Source organism: Homo sapiens, chromosome 5 (genome assembly GCF_000001405.40).
Source record: "Homo sapiens chromosome 5, GRCh38.p14 Primary Assembly".
In the NCBI taxonomy this organism is placed as follows: Eukaryota; Metazoa; Chordata; class Mammalia; order Primates; family Hominidae; genus Homo; species Homo sapiens.
In genome coordinates this window covers 142,588,977-142,605,605 of record NC_000005.10, presented here as the reverse complement: position 1 = coordinate 142,605,605, position 16,629 = coordinate 142,588,977, and the positions used below count along the sequence as shown (strand labels likewise).

Below are 16,629 nucleotides of genomic sequence, written 5' to 3'. Positions count from 1 at the left end.
TCATGTGCTAAGCAGGCCTCTGGCTCTTGTTTACCTCTATGAGGCCTCTTCATGGCCATGATGGAACTCCACAGATGGCAAAGCCAACCCTATTCAGCCCCATGGCCAGACAAGTGGGTGCTATTGAAGGCAGCAAAACAGAAATGCATAGGAAATGAAAAGCTTTTTAAAAATCTTCTTTGATTGGCTGGGCACGGTGGCTCATGCCTGTAATCCCGGCATTTTGGGAGGCCGAGGGGGGTGGATCGCCTGAAGTCAGGAGTTTAAGACCATCCTGGCCAACATGATGAAACCCTGTCTCTACTAAAAATACAAAAAAAAAAAAAAAAAAACTAGCCAGGCATGATGGTGCGTGCCTGTAATCCCAGCTACCTGGGAAGCTGAGACAGGAGAATCGCTTGAACTGGGAGGTGGAGGTTGCAGTGAGCTGAGATCACACCACAGCACTCCAGCCTGGGCAACAGAGTGAGACTCCATCTCAAAAGAAAGAAAAAAGAAACAAACAAACAAAAAAAACTTCCTTGATTACCTAAAAAGACCTCCCCTTTGGGGTTTCTGTCGCACCTATAATGTGTTTGACTAAATATCTACATATATGGGCGATAGGTTGAAAAGAGTCCCAGGCAACTAACCTCACTCCATTCCATGGCTACAGATGGGATCCTGGATGGCCACCCACCATCTTGTCCATGTGTGATCTTGAACACAAGAGGGTCCAAGCAGGAGAGTATCGCTGGATTTGGATCAATCCATTCCCATAATTGGAGCCCAAGAGATTGTGTGAAAGACAGGAAAAAGTAGGATACTTGGAGTACTCGACCTGGGGTCTGGTCATGATTTTTCCCCTTCTTAGAAGTATAACATTGCATAAAACACACTCTCACCAAACTTCAGCTCTTCACCAAAGGACAGAGCAAGCACCACCTTCCTCCAGGGAACACTTCGAGGAGAAAAGGCCACAAAAGCACAGAGGAAACAGTCATACGAGTACTGGCCACTTTCCATGCATTAGCCCTTACAACAACTCCCACTATAGATAAGGAAACAGAGGCAAATACTTTGCCCGATGATCACACAGCTAATAGGCAGCCAAGCAGAACTTGAGTTCATGCAGTTGTGTTCTGGAGCCCACACTCTTTAATTTTATACTGTTTATATCAAGATAGAAACTAGCATGGTGCCTGGCACATTGTAGGTGATCAATAAAAGTTAGCCCCTTCCTTTGATCTCTCTTAAACATATAGGATTATGCTGAGAAATTGACACAAAAGTATATGTGAAGGTTCTCTGAAAACCATAAAGTCTGATAACCATTTAAAAAAAAACCAGCTTTATTGAGATAACACACATACCATACAATTCACCTATTTAAGTTGTACAATGCAATGGATTTTCTTACAACTTAACAGAGTTGTGCAACCAACACCACAATCCATTTTAGAATATTTTCCAAAAGAAGCCCCATGCCTTTTAACCATAATTCCCCCATCTCCACCCACCCTGGCCCTGGATACCCTGAATCTACTTGCTGTCTTTATGGATTTGCCTATTCTGGACATTTCATTTAAATGGAAACATAAAACACATGGTCCTTTGTGATGCTTTCTTCCCACTCAGCACTGTTTCCAGACTCATCTGTGTTGTGGCATGCCTCAGAACTCTGTTCCTTTTTATTGCCAAAGAATATTCTATTGGCATTCCATGTATCTACTTGCTCCATAGACTGTTAGACTGAGAAATAACTTTATGGAGACTGAGCGCAAATACCCCTCATTTTACTGAAAAAGAGACTGTGTCTAAGAGGCTATGCAGCCTAGCCAAGATCACTCAGCTCAGAGCCCAGCCTTGAGCCTTACAACTCTCCACGTGGTCCCATCTTACTGCCCCCCTCAGAGAGTTATTGGAGACATAATTCAAAGTGCACAGCTTATTGATAATGGGCCAGGAGAATCATCTCTGCCAATATTAGCCCAACACCATTCATTCACCAAATAATGTAGACTGCCCCCTGTGTGCAGGGCACTGTAGGAGGTGCTGAGGACCCCAGAGGGAACAGGACAAGATCTCTGCCCTTCCTCTCAGAGTGTACACTTTCCTGAGGAGGCAGAAATAGATCAGTAGCTCCCTAGATAATAAAATCATTGCATGTTGTACTAAGTGCCATGAAAGAAACAAGGGGCAGAGGAGGAAGAGGATGTGGGGGAGGGTGGTATTGGCAGGGAGAATGGGGTGGGGATGAAAGGACCCCGTGCGCAGAGTGTCACACACTCTGGGGAGGGCCTCTTTTAGGATATTTAGGCTGAGGCCTGGAGGAGAAGGACCTTGTGAATATCTGGAGGAAGAATGTCCCAGAGAGAAGGCTATAGCATGTGCAAAGATCCCAGGAAAACAGGGAAAGTTTGAAGTTTAATAGGAGCAGAAAGAGCGAGCAAGTGGTGTGACTGAAGGCTCGAGAGAGCAGGGCCCAGCTTACAGTGGAGGCCCATAGGCCTGTTCCCTCACGGCTACACTCTCAGAGCTAACCATTCCTAGGAGGACCCGTGAGAAAGTGCATCAGTGGCTTCCAGTTCCTTCCTGTGAATTAAATAAACTCCAGTTGCCACTGGAAGCTAGAGGAAGTCCTGAGTCTCTATAGCAAAGACTTCCAAGGAAGGGAGAATTGCATCTTAGGTAAAGGTGATGAAACTATGAATCATCCTGGGGGTGAATCAGGAGATAAGGAAGGCAAAGAGAAATAAGAAAATACAGGCATATTAACAGAGAAATGGTTAAACAATTATGGTATAGCTACATAATGGAACACAATTCAATCAGCAAGAAGAAAGAAGTTTACTCTTTCCATCCTGATGTAGAAAGATCTACAATTAGTTGTTAAGCAAAAAAAAAAGCAAGGTGCAGAACTGTGTGCTCAGTACATTACCATTAGTATGAGATAGTATGTCTTTTGCAATATACGCACACAAGCTCTCTAGAAAGGATACACACACAAGGTGTCTAGGAGGGGTTTCCTTGTTTCTGCATCCCCCCAGGAGATGTGCACTCCAGAACGAAGCTTTTCACTATCTCCTCTGCTGTTTGGGAAAATGGAAGTATATTTCCTATTCAAAGAAATTAAATTAAAAATGAAAACAGGCCAGGCGCAGTGGCTCACACCTGTAATCCCAGCACTTTGGGAGGCTGAGGCAGGCAGAGCATAAGGTCAGGAATTCGAGACCAGCCTGGCCAACATGGTGAAACCCCATCTCTACTAAAAATACCAAAATTAGCCGGGCATGGTGGTGCATGCCTGTAATCCCAGCTACTGGGGAGGATGAGGCAGGAGAATTGCTTGAACCCGGGAGGCAGAGCTTGCAGTGAGCCGAGATCGCGCCACTGCACTTCAGCCTGGGCAACAGAACAAGACTCCGTCTCAAAAGAAAAAAAAAAAAAGAAAAGAACACAAAGAAAAGGCAATGAGGGGTCGAGATCTACCAACCAAAGCTCTGTGTGTTCCAGCCTCTCCTGCCCCTTGGCCTCTGCCAAGATGAACCTCAGAGATGCCCCCTCATCCTCCTAGGGAACTAACTATTGGGCAGCCACTGGTTCCTGGTCTAGATTTCACTCCTAGTTGTAATGATGGTTGTGACGGTCTAGTGACCAAATAAATTATCCCGAAGAGTCTAGAATTAATTCCAATTCCCAAATGTGAATTATCAAAGCACCTTTCTCAAGAGGGCACCCTAGGGTGAATAAACAAGTTAATAATTATCAAATGGACATTGGATTCCAATTAAGTGTCCAGCACCTTGGGAGTGTCAATCAGTGTGAATGAGGAGAGTGTGACTCTGTAACTCATAGTCCTTTCCCTCCATCTCCAGGTTTCTCAACCTGGACGCTGCTGACTTTTGGGCTGGAAAATTCTTTGCTGTTGGGGGCTGCCCTGTGCATTGTAGGATGTTAGCAGCATCTCTGGCCTCTACCCACTAGATGCCAGTAGCACCCGCCCCCCCTAGCTGTGACAACAGAAACTGTCTTCAGAGATTGCCAAATGTCCCCTTTGGAGCAAAATCACCCCCAGTTGAGAACCACTGTTCTCATCACTGCATTTCCAGGTAACGGCTTCATTCTCCCCCCATCAGAAGCTGGTGATCTCCCCTCTGCCTCTACCCCAGGTGGGTTGCCATAGAGGCTGAGGGATTGACGGAAACTTCATTGTGAGGGAGTTCCCCGAGTTTCATATGTGGCAACCAGTCCTAACTCCCTGGGAACCTCTTCTGTCTCAGGGAAAACAGCAATCTCAGATTTTATAAAATAACGATCTGCGGACAGGAATCTCTCCCATGACTAGAAGGCCCAGACAATTAAAAGGCACCCCTGTGCAGGTTGATAATGAAAGCAGAACACATGCAGGCTGGCCAGATCCTACTCTATGGCATCCCAAGATTGCAGGGATGAGGGAGCCCGGGGGAGTGAGTGCCATTTCCTCCTGTGATTATTTTCCTACAAGTGACAGAAAGAAAGGAGCGAGGCACCGTGAAGGTGCACTCAGGGTCATTTTGTAACCAACAGGGTGGACAGGTAGGTGAGCCGGCCGTTGTCTCTCCTTCCTTTCCCAAGGACGTAATTCCCAATGGACAGCTTTCTTTGGAAGGCAAAGAAAAAGGGACTGTATTTCTATGTTTTGATTAATCTGAGGCTCATCCCTGAGGGCTCCGTGAAATGAATGAGCAGAATTTTCCATGGCCAACTGTCCTGGCTGCCGGGTCCTATCGGCAAAAGCGTAGTGTTTATTTACTTTTGCTCGTGTTATTTTTATTCCAGTTCAGCTGCAGCTCAGTGCGGAAAGCGTGGGGGAGGTGTATATAAAGAGTACCGAGACTGGCCAGTACTTGGCCATGGACACCGACGGGCTTTTATACGGCTCAGTAAGTATGAAGCTGACATGCTTCCAGACGTGGCCAAGGTTTGAGGTTTCCAGAAATCTTGTTACATGGAGTGAGGCAAACTATAAAGCAACAATTAGTCTCTGTTTGTTATTTTTTCCAGAAGGATTCCCACCCTCACTCTGCTTTATTTTAGGCACAAACATAAAAGAGTTTCTTGTAGTATTCTCTCAAAACTCTCAAATGTATTATCATATAAACACAGAGTAAAGATTGATTGATGTTTTGGTAACTCTTCAATCACTCATTTTAGAATATCTAATCCCATTCCATTCATTCATTCATTCATTCCAAAAATGTTTTTCTTTCTTTTTTTCACTTTGAGACAGGGTCTGGCTCTGTCGCCCAGGCTGGAGTGCAGTGGCACAATCATGACTCACTGAAGCCTCGAACTCCTGGGCTCAAGAAATCCTCCCCCCTCAGCCCCCTGAGTAGCTGGGACCACAGATGAATACCACCATGCCCAGCTAATGTTTTTATTTTTTGTAGAGACAAGGTCTCACTATGTTGCTGAGGCTGGTCTCAAACTCCTGGGCTCGAGCGGCCTCAGCCTTCCAAAGTGCTGGGATTATAGGCCACCACACACAGCCCAAAAATGTTTCTTGAGTACCTAGGTACTACGTGCTATAGGTGTGTCTCTTATTGCTTTTTACACAAATGGCAGAGCCTGGGCTTTCATAGTTTATATGTCATGCACAAAACTTTGAAAATAGCCCCTTTTATTCTGAAAGGATCACCTAAAAGGATAGAAAGCTTAATAACTTAATTCAACATTTATCAAATGTCTCCTGTGTCTAAGTGCCATGTTAGGTACTGAAAGGGTGTGAGGATGAATGAGCTGCAATGGAGAGGCATAGTCTAATTGTTTCTTCAGTAGCTAAAATCCTCCATGTTCCCTGCCCTTTCCCTATCATAGCTAGTGCTTTATACAGGTTTGACCATGTATAGATAGGTCTTTATGGGAAAGGAATAGAAATAGAGGCAATGTGATTTTGCCCCTATTGGTATCTCTGTGACAGGAGTTAACTGGAGAGACAGCTTAAACCAATGACTGCGGGTTTTGAAGTTATTTCTAGATTTTAATGTTCCCTCCTCTGTATCCTAACAGTTGATAAACTAAGGCTTGGCTGTAATTCCTAGCCCAATCCACACCCCTTTCCTCCCTTTTATGAAGATGTCTTCAAAAAGACAGTCAGTAGGGGGAATTTTAGTCTGGAGCTTCAACTTACATCGAATTGCCAAGTGACAGAGGGCACAGAAACCCTCTCTTGAAGTTGTCATCTCAGCCAAGGGTCCCAATGTGAACACAGCTTCGTTTCCTCTCACTGCCCACTAGGGATCAGGAGATTAAATCATCAGCGTAATAGGTAACCTCTAAAATGCTATGTGCTCAGTACAGATCACCTGGGACGGCTTTAAGGGGTTTGGCAGTAGGGGATTTTTTTAAGGTAGTTCTTCCAAGTGGTAGTAAAATCAATCCATCAGTCAATCGCTTAGTCTCAGACTCATGATTGAATCTCACGCCTCTGCCACTCTGGCAAGTCACTTACCCACTCTGAGCTTTGTCTAAAATGAGGACAGTCATGGATCATAACCGCCTCACACAGAGCGTACATGGGTTCAGTGGTGCAACACACAGAATGCGCCCATCAGAGTGGCTGGCACGTCACAGACCAGTGGTGGCTGTAAGACAAGTCATCAGCTTAGAAGCCCCTCACCCTCACTGTGTCTTAGGTTATGCCACAGTTTTATGGCTTTTCCCTCTTTAAATAAATTTTGACGTTTATTGTAACCTGCTTTCACTTATATAAAAATATTGAGGGAGAACTCCCAGAATCTAATTTCCGATAGGCTCCAGGCACCCCCTTCTCCCACCATAGCCGTGGCCATCACTACAATTCACCTGAAATATGATCTTAGTATATTACGCCTAAGAATGTTTGCATTTTCCCCATTGATAAAGAGAAGTTCTAAGATATCTCAAAGCTCTGCTTCATGCTCTTCATAAAATTTAGGCACTAATCCATCCTGATTCAAACTTGTGTGTGTGGAAAGGATATGTATATTTTTTTTAAGTTTGAAAGGCTATATATCAAAATACTGATATAGTTATCTCTGGGGGTGGAGAATGGGTGATTTTATAATATGTGAATAACTTCCTGTATTTTCCAATTTTTTTTTTACAGTAAGTATATGTCACCTATGTAATTTAGGGTGGGAGGGGAAACATGCCAAATATAAAAAAGAAGACAATTTAAACAATAGACATGAATCAATAGTTAAGCCACATGTCTTCAGCATTGTACCAAGTGCATAATGAGTGCTAACAAATCCTGGTGGAGGGACGGAGCACCGCTGATCTGGCCTGCTGACTCAGCCTGTGACTCAGCTATTTTGTGTGTGTCAACTCCTCCAGTATAATAGAGACATCAGGTGGGGAATGTGGCCATCCTCACCTTCGTCACAGAACACAGGCCTGATGCCCACTATGAGGTGTCAGGCATGAGTCCTCCCTACAAGGGAGTGGGCAACCCACATAGGTCCAAGCTGTCTACCTCCTTCTACCCCCAACAACATGCATCAAACACGAATGTCTGCACCAAGTTCCTCTAGAGGCAGCAGAGTCATCCAATAAAATATTATATTTATATCTCATCTTGTTCCAATATGATCTAAAGTGTCTCACCCTGTTGTCATTTCACTAGATTATGAATGAATAAGAAGCAGGATACTTCCTGTTACACAGTTCCTTACTAAGAAAGGCTGACTTTACTGACTGCTTTATATTATCTCAAGAATCAAATTAAATGCATTACTTAGCTGGTGAGCACCTATTATTTGCAAGGCTCTGTGTCTGGGGGATGGAGAGAAGACCAACAAGATTCCATCTCCTTCCTCACTAGGGTTTATAATCTAAAGAAACAAACATGCTCACACATAGAGAACAATGAACAATATAATTGGAAACCGCCAGACAGGGAATCACCAACCACTGTGGGTGAAGAGAGACTGCAGGGGTCACACGACTTGAAAAAGGCAAAGCAAAGTCAGATGTCTCAGTTCCAGCATAAGTGTTTTAATATACCTGTTTTAGACCCAAATGTAATAAATATATTCTAAGATCTTGACGAATAGAAAGTTCAAAAACTGAGTTCCCCTTCCACCAACAGATTGACTACAAGTAAGCAAAATAGTGGTTGCTGGATTTTTTTCAAGTAACTGCACTCTTTAATACGTTGTGGCTGATTTTCAACTTAATAAATGTACAGCTGCACTGGGTTCTACTGTACGGATATTCTTTTACCCACTTAACCAATCACCTTTCCATGGACATATAGGTTACTCCTAATCGCTTGCCCCTATAACCATTGGTTCAGAGACCATCCTCAAAAATACAGTTGTACACTTACTCAACCATCTCCTAGGGGTAGATTCCTAGAAGTGAAATTGCTGAGTCAAAGGTAATACATCTTGTAAATTTTGATACATATTGCTAAATTGTCTTCAGAAAGTTTCCACTAATTTTTCTCGCCAACTGTGCATGGCAGTGCCTAGTTCCCACATTCTAAGTCTTGCAAATGGTTTTTTATCTTTGCACAAATTTTTTTTTATCTTTGCACATAGGATAGCTAACATATGATAAATAATTTTTAATTTGCATTTTTCTCGTTAGCAGTATTGAATGTTTTCATAGGTTTGTTGTTCATTTTTAAAACATCAAATAAAACATGACATTTTGATGATATCATAAGTCTATATCCATATAGCCTTATCTAGTCTGTATGTACATAAAGAGATGTAAGGCAGGATGTTTATCAGTGATTAACAGTTGCCTATATCTGGGTGGTGGGTTTTGGGATAGTTTTTTCTTTTTACAAAGTAAAGGTATATTTTTAAAAGTACAATTCTTCTTATAAGTAGCATTTTTATTACTCTTTAGAGACAGGTTCTTGCTCTGTCACCCAGACTAGAGTGCAGTGGTACAATCATAGCTCACTACAGCCTCAAACTCCTGGGGTCGAGCAATCCTCCTACCTCAGCCTCCTAAGTAGCTAGGAGGACAGGCACACACCATGGCACCTAGCTAATTAAAAAAAAAAAATTGTAGAGAATGGGTCTTGCTATGTTGCCCAGACTGGCCTCAAATTCCTGGGCTCAAGCAATCCTCCTGCCTCAGCCTCCCAAAGTGTTGTAATTACAGGCACACACCATGGCACCTAGCTAATTAAAAAAAAAAAAATTGTAGAGAATGGGTCTTGCTATGTTGCCCAGACTGGCCTCAAATTCCTGGGCTCAAGCAATCCTCCTGCCTCAGCCTCCCAAAGTGTTGTGATTACAGGCACACACCATGGCACCTAGCTAATTAAAAAAAAAATTGTAGAGAATGGGTCTTGCTATGTTGCCCAGACTGGCCTCAAACTCCTGGGCTCAAGCAATCCTCCTGCCTCAGCCTCCCAAAGTGTTGTGATTACAGGCATGAGCCACTGTGCCTGACCACAAGTAGCATCTATTTATAAGATTCTTTTTATAAGTAGCAAAAAATAAAGCTATTTTCATTTTAAAAAATCTACATTCTAGGATATGTTTCATGCTTAGGATAAATTTTGCACAAGCATATCTTCATAACAATACTCAGGTAAAATCCTGACGTTAGTGAAAATCACCAGGATAAAAGGCATTTTAGCAGCTTTTTGTTTATTCTTTAAGTCTAGCCTTCAAGTTAAAACAACAGCAACAACAACAACCCACTACATCACAGTCTGGTTTTTACCTATTTGGAATGTTTTTCCATGGTCAGGCCTGTGTGCCAGGCCACTACAGAGATGAAAGATCCAGCCCTGCCCTCAAGGTACTTACAGTCGAGCAGAATGTCCCCAGTGGGAGATTCTAGAGTCCTGAGGACTCTTAGAAGTGCTCTTATCAGTAGCATCTTAATTACTTTACAATGGATTTTAAATGGAAAGGAAGTTTACAATAATAGCAAATGCATATTGACAGCTCTTTAGTGCCCGGTGCTGTTCTAAGTCCTTATGACTACCCTGTGAAATAAGTTCCACCATGACCCCAATTTTCCTGAAAAGGAGACTGAGGCATGGAGAGCTTTAGTATTTTGCCCAATGTCACACAGCTAGTAAATGGGGACCCCCATGTGAAACTACTCACTGATTGTCCTACTCTCTTTTGGTTTTATCTTTTTAGCAGACACCAAATGAGGAATGTTTGTTCCTGGAAAGGCTGGAGGAGAACCATTACAACACCTATATATCCAAGAAGCATGCAGAGAAGAATTGGTTTGTTGGCCTCAAGAAGAATGGGAGCTGCAAACGCGGTCCTCGGACTCACTATGGCCAGAAAGCAATCTTGTTTCTCCCCCTGCCAGTCTCTTCTGATTAAAGAGATCTGTTCTGGGTGTTGACCACTCCAGAGAAGTTTCGAGGGGTCCTCACCTGGTTGACCCAAAAATGTTCCCTTGACCATTGGCTGCGCTAACCCCCAGCCCACAGAGCCTGAATTTGTAAGCAACTTGCTTCTAAATGCCCAGTTCACTTCTTTGCAGAGCCTTTTACCCCTGCACAGTTTAGAACAGAGGGACCAAATTGCTTCTAGGAGTCAACTGGCTGGCCAGTCTGGGTCTGGGTTTGGATCTCCAATTGCCTCTTGCAGGCTGAGTCCCTCCATGCAAAAGTGGGGCTAAATGAAGTGTGTTAAGGGGTCGGCTAAGTGGGACATTAGTAACTGCACACTATTTCCCTCTACTGAGTAAACCCTATCTGTGATTCCCCCAAACATCTGGCATGGCTCCCTTTTGTCCTTCCTGTGCCCTGCAAATATTAGCAAAGAAGCTTCATGCCAGGTTAGGAAGGCAGCATTCCATGACCAGAAACAGGGACAAAGAAATCCCCCCTTCAGAACAGAGGCATTTAAAATGGAAAAGAGAGATTGGATTTTGGTGGGTAACTTAGAAGGATGGCATCTCCATGTAGAATAAATGAAGAAAGGGAGGCCCAGCCGCAGGAAGGCAGAATAAATCCTTGGGAGTCATTACCACGCCTTGACCTTCCCAAGGTTACTCAGCAGCAGAGAGCCCTGGGTGACTTCAGGTGGAGAGCACTAGAAGTGGTTTCCTGATAACAAGCAAGGATATCAGAGCTGGGAAATTCATGTGGATCTGGGGACTGAGTGTGGGAGTGCAGAGAAAGAAAGGGAAACTGGCTGAGGGGATACCATAAAAAGAGGATGATTTCAGAAGGAGAAGGAAAAAGAAAGTAATGCCACACATTGTGCTTGGCCCCTGGTAAGCAGAGGCTTTGGGGTCCTAGCCCAGTGCTTCTCCAACACTGAAGTGCTTGCAGATCATCTGGGGACCTGGTTTGAATGGAGATTCTGATTCAGTGGGTTGGGGGCAGAGTTTCTGCAGTTCCATCAGGTCCCCCCCAGGTGCAGGTGCTGACAATACTGCTGCCTTACCCGCCATACATTAAGGAGCAGGGTCCTGGTCCTAAAGAGTTATTCAAATGAAGGTGGTTCGACGCCCCGAACCTCACCTGACCTCAACTAACCCTTAAAAATGCACACCTCATGAGTCTACCTGAGCATTCAGGCAGCACTGACAATAGTTATGCCTGTACTAAGGAGCATGATTTTAAGAGGCTTTGGCCCAATGCCTATAAAATGCCCATTTCGAAGATATACAAAAACATACTTCAAAAATGTTAAACCCTTACCAACAGCTTTTCCCAGGAGACCATTTGTATTACCATTACTTGTATAAATACACTTCCTGCTTAAACTTGACCCAGGTGGCTAGCAAATTAGAAACACCATTCATCTCTAACATATGATACTGATGCCATGTAAAGGCCTTTAATAAGTCATTGAAATTTACTGTGAGACTGTATGTTTTAATTGCATTTAAAAATATATAGCTTGAAAGCAGTTAAACTGATTAGTATTCAGGCACTGAGAATGATAGTAATAGGATACAATGTATAAGCTACTCACTTATCTGATACTTATTTACCTATAAAATGAGATTTTTGTTTTCCACTGTGCTATTACAAATTTTCTTTTGAAAGTAGGAACTCTTAAGCAATGGTAATTGTGAATAAAAATTGATGAGAGTGTTAGCTCCTGTTTCATATGAAATTGAAGTAATTGTTAACTAAAAACAATTCCTTAGTAACTGAACTGTCATATTTAGAATGGAAGGAAAATGACAGTTTGTGAAAGTTCAAAGCAATAGTGCAATTGAAGAATTGACCTAAGTAAGCTGACATTATGGTTAATAATAGTATTTTAGATTTGTGCAGCAAAATAATTTCATAACTTTTTTGTTTTTGTTACTTGGATAAGATCAATCTGTTTTATTTTAGTAAATCTTTGCAGGCAAGTTAGAGAAAATGCAGTGTGGCTTAACGTCTCTTTAGTATGAAGATTTGGCCAGAAAAAGATACCCAGAGAGGAAATCTAAGATAATTATAATGGTCCATACTTTTTATTGTATGAATCAAACTCAAGCATAACATTGGCCAAGGAAAATTAAATACCATTGCTAACTTGTGAAATGGAAGTCTGTGATTTCGGAGATGCAAAGCATTGTAGTAAAAACACCAATGTGACCTCGACCATCTCAGCCCAGATATCATTCATATATCTGTTCAATGACTATTAAGGTGCCTACTGTGTGCTAGGCACTGTACTGGATACTGGGGACCTTGTCTGTCTGGTTTGCTGCTGTATCTTCTCCCAGGGCATTATATTTATGATGAAAGATGCTGTGGATTCAATTCTTTCAGTCAAGAATAAACACAGACTTTGTAGGTTCCTGCTGAATAAAGCAAATCCCAGAAACCCAGATTTTGGAAGAATCAGCAACCCCAGCATAAAATAAACCCCTATCAAAATGTCAGAGGACATGGCAAGGTAAACTTAGCATTTTCAACTTTAGAACCGGGTCAGCTTCAGGGGGACTGCTTTCAAATCAGCCAAAGAGCCTGTCAGATCTTCTTAGAAGGAAGAGGTTGGTAGTTCCCTGCTCTGTTTTGAACATGCTCTAGTTTATTAACCTGGGGACATTCCCATTGCTGTCTTAAGTAAGTCTCATAGCCAGCTCCTGTCACGTGACTCTCATATGGATTCATTTTCGGGCCAGCTCTGAACAAAGCATCATGAACATATGTGCTTTTGGTCGTTTGCAATGTGATGGTGGTGGAGGTAGGTATTGGTTTCCTTGGAAGGCATGATAAGAAAGATTCACAATGGCCAACAGTGTGTATGAACAAAAAACTGATTGGAGCATCAGCTAGTACTGAAGGTCCTTGCTTTGTGTCAGAGGCAAAGGAACCCAAGGCGCCAAGTCCTCAGCCTTGAGTGTACTGCTGACAACTAAACTCACAGGCTGCAAAGCAGACCTCTGATGAAGATGCCTGTTATTTCACATCACTGTCTTTTTGTGTATCATAGTCTGCACCTTACAAATATTAATAAATGTTCCAATAATAGGTGATAATGTCTCTGAGTTTCTGAGCATCCTGCTGCCTCATCTTTCTATCAAAGGACCTCCCCAGCATCCCTGAGGTGTGGCTGCTTAGTTTTCGATACTTACCTTGTTACCAGATGTCAGACTTTAAAGGCTAACAGGGAATGCGAAGGTAGAAACATTTTTCAATGTGTTTGGAAACAGAAGGCAGTATGGGTGATTTTCTACATTTCTGTTAGGGTAATATACATATACAGGAAATTCGCCTCCTGAGGAGCCAGGCACCATAAATAACTCAGGTGAAACTTTTTCTTCTTAACATAAACCATGTAAAATTATGCTACTATTGTTGAGGTGACTGGCTCGTGCTTAGGCAAAGATATGATATGGCCTGAAAAAAAAAAAAAACATTTAAGGACTTATTTACAATTTTAAGTCAATGGCAAGAGGGTGGATCTCTTCATCTTAAGAGCCCTGGTGTGGAGCTATAGATTTGCTTCTCAGATTTTCTAAATTATCATTTTAAGCAGTGTTTCCTTAAATAAACCTCTGGATCTTATGACATCTTATTCTTAGGAGGAAGTACGCTGCTGCCTAGTACATCATGCAGAATCACACACACAGGCACACACACAGATGCACACGCATCGTCTAAGGAAAAAGGTGGGGAGAGTGTGCTCACTCTGCTAATTACATACCACAATATTGGTATACCACAGTCAATCCTTTCTTTTCCTTCTAAAGTTGCCTAAAGCAATATTTTTCTACTTTTTGGATCTTGCTCCACCATAAGAACTAATTTTCCATTACAAACTGGCACATACATACTGTTATACATACACACCACTGAAACAAAAATTTCGCAAAACTAGATGAGGGGCACTTTGATTCTTCAGTTACATTCCACTAAAACACACTAGTCAAACAGCATTTAACTTGGTTGACAACATTCATGGGTCACAACCGCAGTTTGAAAAACACTGACTTAAAGCAACTGTTCTTCCCAAAGATGGCGAGACCCAATGAGGATCTTGTGTTATGACTTTAGTGTTTTCAAAGACGCAGTTTGTTCTTGAGTAAACAAGACAAGAGGACATCCTGTTACCCAGGAACCATCTGTTTTGAAGGCTCTGTTAATTCTTTTAGCCTGGTTTGCTGCTAATCATGCAAAATGAATGTAATGGAACAGATTCCATGGGCGCCCACTGCTGCCTCCAAGGCTGGTCTAGCAGATTTTTCTGCTCTTGGAAGCCCTGGAGACTTTGACCCCCCCTCCCCCTCCTTTGGAATTCTCATCACGTTGGGTCTTGAAGTCATTCCCTCCCTAACTCCCACAGTCTTCACTTCATTCCTCTCTGTTGCCTCCCCAACCCCTCACCAATTCCTAGTTCTTAACCATATCTAATAAAAACATAAAAAGCAGATTGAACCAAGAAAAGGCTATAACCTGGGGCCTCTATGCATCTTCCCCAGCTCCCATCACTTTCTGGAAATGATCCTCTCTCACCTCTTATCTACCTTTTAAAAAGTGTGCCATTCCTGGCTCAGTCATAAGCTAAACACCATTGTTCCTGGTATGCAGCTTATACAGGGATCTGCATTTTCCATCTTGGCTGAACCAACTAAACAAAGTAATTCTATGTCTTAAATATTTGGTGGGGTGTGGGTGGCTGAGAATGGACCTCCTGTCAGTGAACTTGACCACAAAGAGAAAAATATAAATATAGTCTTCACTTTTCATATTTATCTGAGTGATGTCCCATTTATCATGGGGTGGGAAGAGAGGAGGAATCTCCAATCCTAAGCACTTTTGGGTTGTTATATTAGCTAGTATGGTAGTAGTAGCACATCAGACAAAAATGTGCTGTCAACTACACTTTCACAAATTAACAAAAAATATTTTTAGAAGCAGTAGTGACAATGTGGAAATATTTAAGCCCAACTGAGCAGCAAGACTTGTATGTTCTCCATTTCAAAATGACTAGGGATGATTTGTTTGATGACCGTTAAAATTGAAATAATGGCTATTAAAAAGTGGCACCCCCTCCTTCGAATCCACTCCCCAAAGCTGTCCTCCACCCCCCAGAAAAAACTCCTTTTGCCATTGTATATAAATGTACACTAAAATCCACTCAGAGAACTCAGAGCTTTAGGCTTGGGGATCTGACACTAGGGACTCCAGACCCTAGTGATTGAACTACCATTCTCTCAAGTAACAAGGGAAATGTACTAAATGACTATTGGAATCTTTCTGCAACATTGGACCCACTTTGCGGTTGACATATTGACCATGACATACTACACTGTTAGCTTTCCACCCTAGTTATAAAATTAAAAAGAGAAACCAGGTCACACACAGCCTGAAGCCAGAGGGTGGGTTTGCTTTATAAAATGCACATACTGTAGGACCTTGCTTTGGGGTCTTCTGATGGTTCTGAGAATGTTTGTGATGTGGGAAGGAGGTATTTCCCAAATTGCTTCCTTCCTTCTTAGCTCCCCACTGTCACGCAGGCTATATTTACACATTCAGCAGCTAAACATTGGTGTCTGTTTTATTACATAAACAAGGAAAACCTCACATGTCCTTGATGTGCTTTTCTATCAGCCTTAATGAAAGGTTGGGCATTCCCTGTTTGGAACTGTGTTCAATTTAAGGATTTGGTTCACTTGGCCAAAGTGTTTGGGGATAGAGATGTAAATAGTCAATTTGTGCGAATTGTCACAGAGACACACTTCACTGTGATTTTCACATTTCATGTTTTCTTAGGAAATAATTTTTTTTAGTCTGACCCATAGATACATAAGAGTAAGATGTTGGATTATTTTCTAACATGCCTTATTCTCCAAAATAAGTTATAGGAACGTATTATATACTACCTTGTTTTGCATGGTTTAGAAAAACAAGACTGTTCAGAGCCTGGGAATATCAACTGTATTAAGAGTTTAGCAACTTCCTGTGGAAATGAATAGTAAAATCTATTGCATTCTCAAAATAGAACACCTGCAGTAGGGACAGTGCTATTGACCCAGGAAATGGTACAAGTTTTAAGACTGGGCAGATTGTTTCTACTAATATGGGACAAAATTGCAAATCCAAGATGGTTGTGCAGAGAGAGCACACGAGAGGGAAATATGTTTCTATATCCTTGGTGCTACTGAAATCTGCTGTATATTTAATTGAGGTGAAAAAGAGGTAGGTTTTTGGTTTTTGTTGTTTTTTTTTTTGAG

The 16,629-nt window shown here is 42.2% G+C and overlaps 1 protein-coding gene across 27 annotated transcripts in view; it reads left to right on the top strand.

Annotated features, from left to right (window-relative positions):
- FGF1 (fibroblast growth factor 1) overlaps nucleotides 1–13,428 on the top strand; it is a 105,893-nt gene extending 92,465 nt beyond the window's left edge. For 15 of the 27 annotated variants that reach the window (NM_001257205.1, NM_001144935.2, NM_001354952.2 and 12 more), the window contains 2 exons: nucleotides 4,801–4,904; nucleotides 10,122–13,428. In NM_001257205.1, the coding sequence (NP_001244134.1) occupies nucleotides 4,801–4,904; nucleotides 10,122–10,316 (299 nt within the window). In that variant the 3' untranslated portion in view covers nucleotides 10,317–13,428. The remainder of the gene's footprint in view (nucleotides 1–4,800; nucleotides 4,905–10,121) is intronic. The other 12 variants (NM_001354962.2, NM_001354964.2, NM_001354961.2 and 9 more) reach the window with 3 other exon arrangements.
- The last annotated feature ends 3,201 nt before the right edge of the window (nucleotides 13,429–16,629 follow it).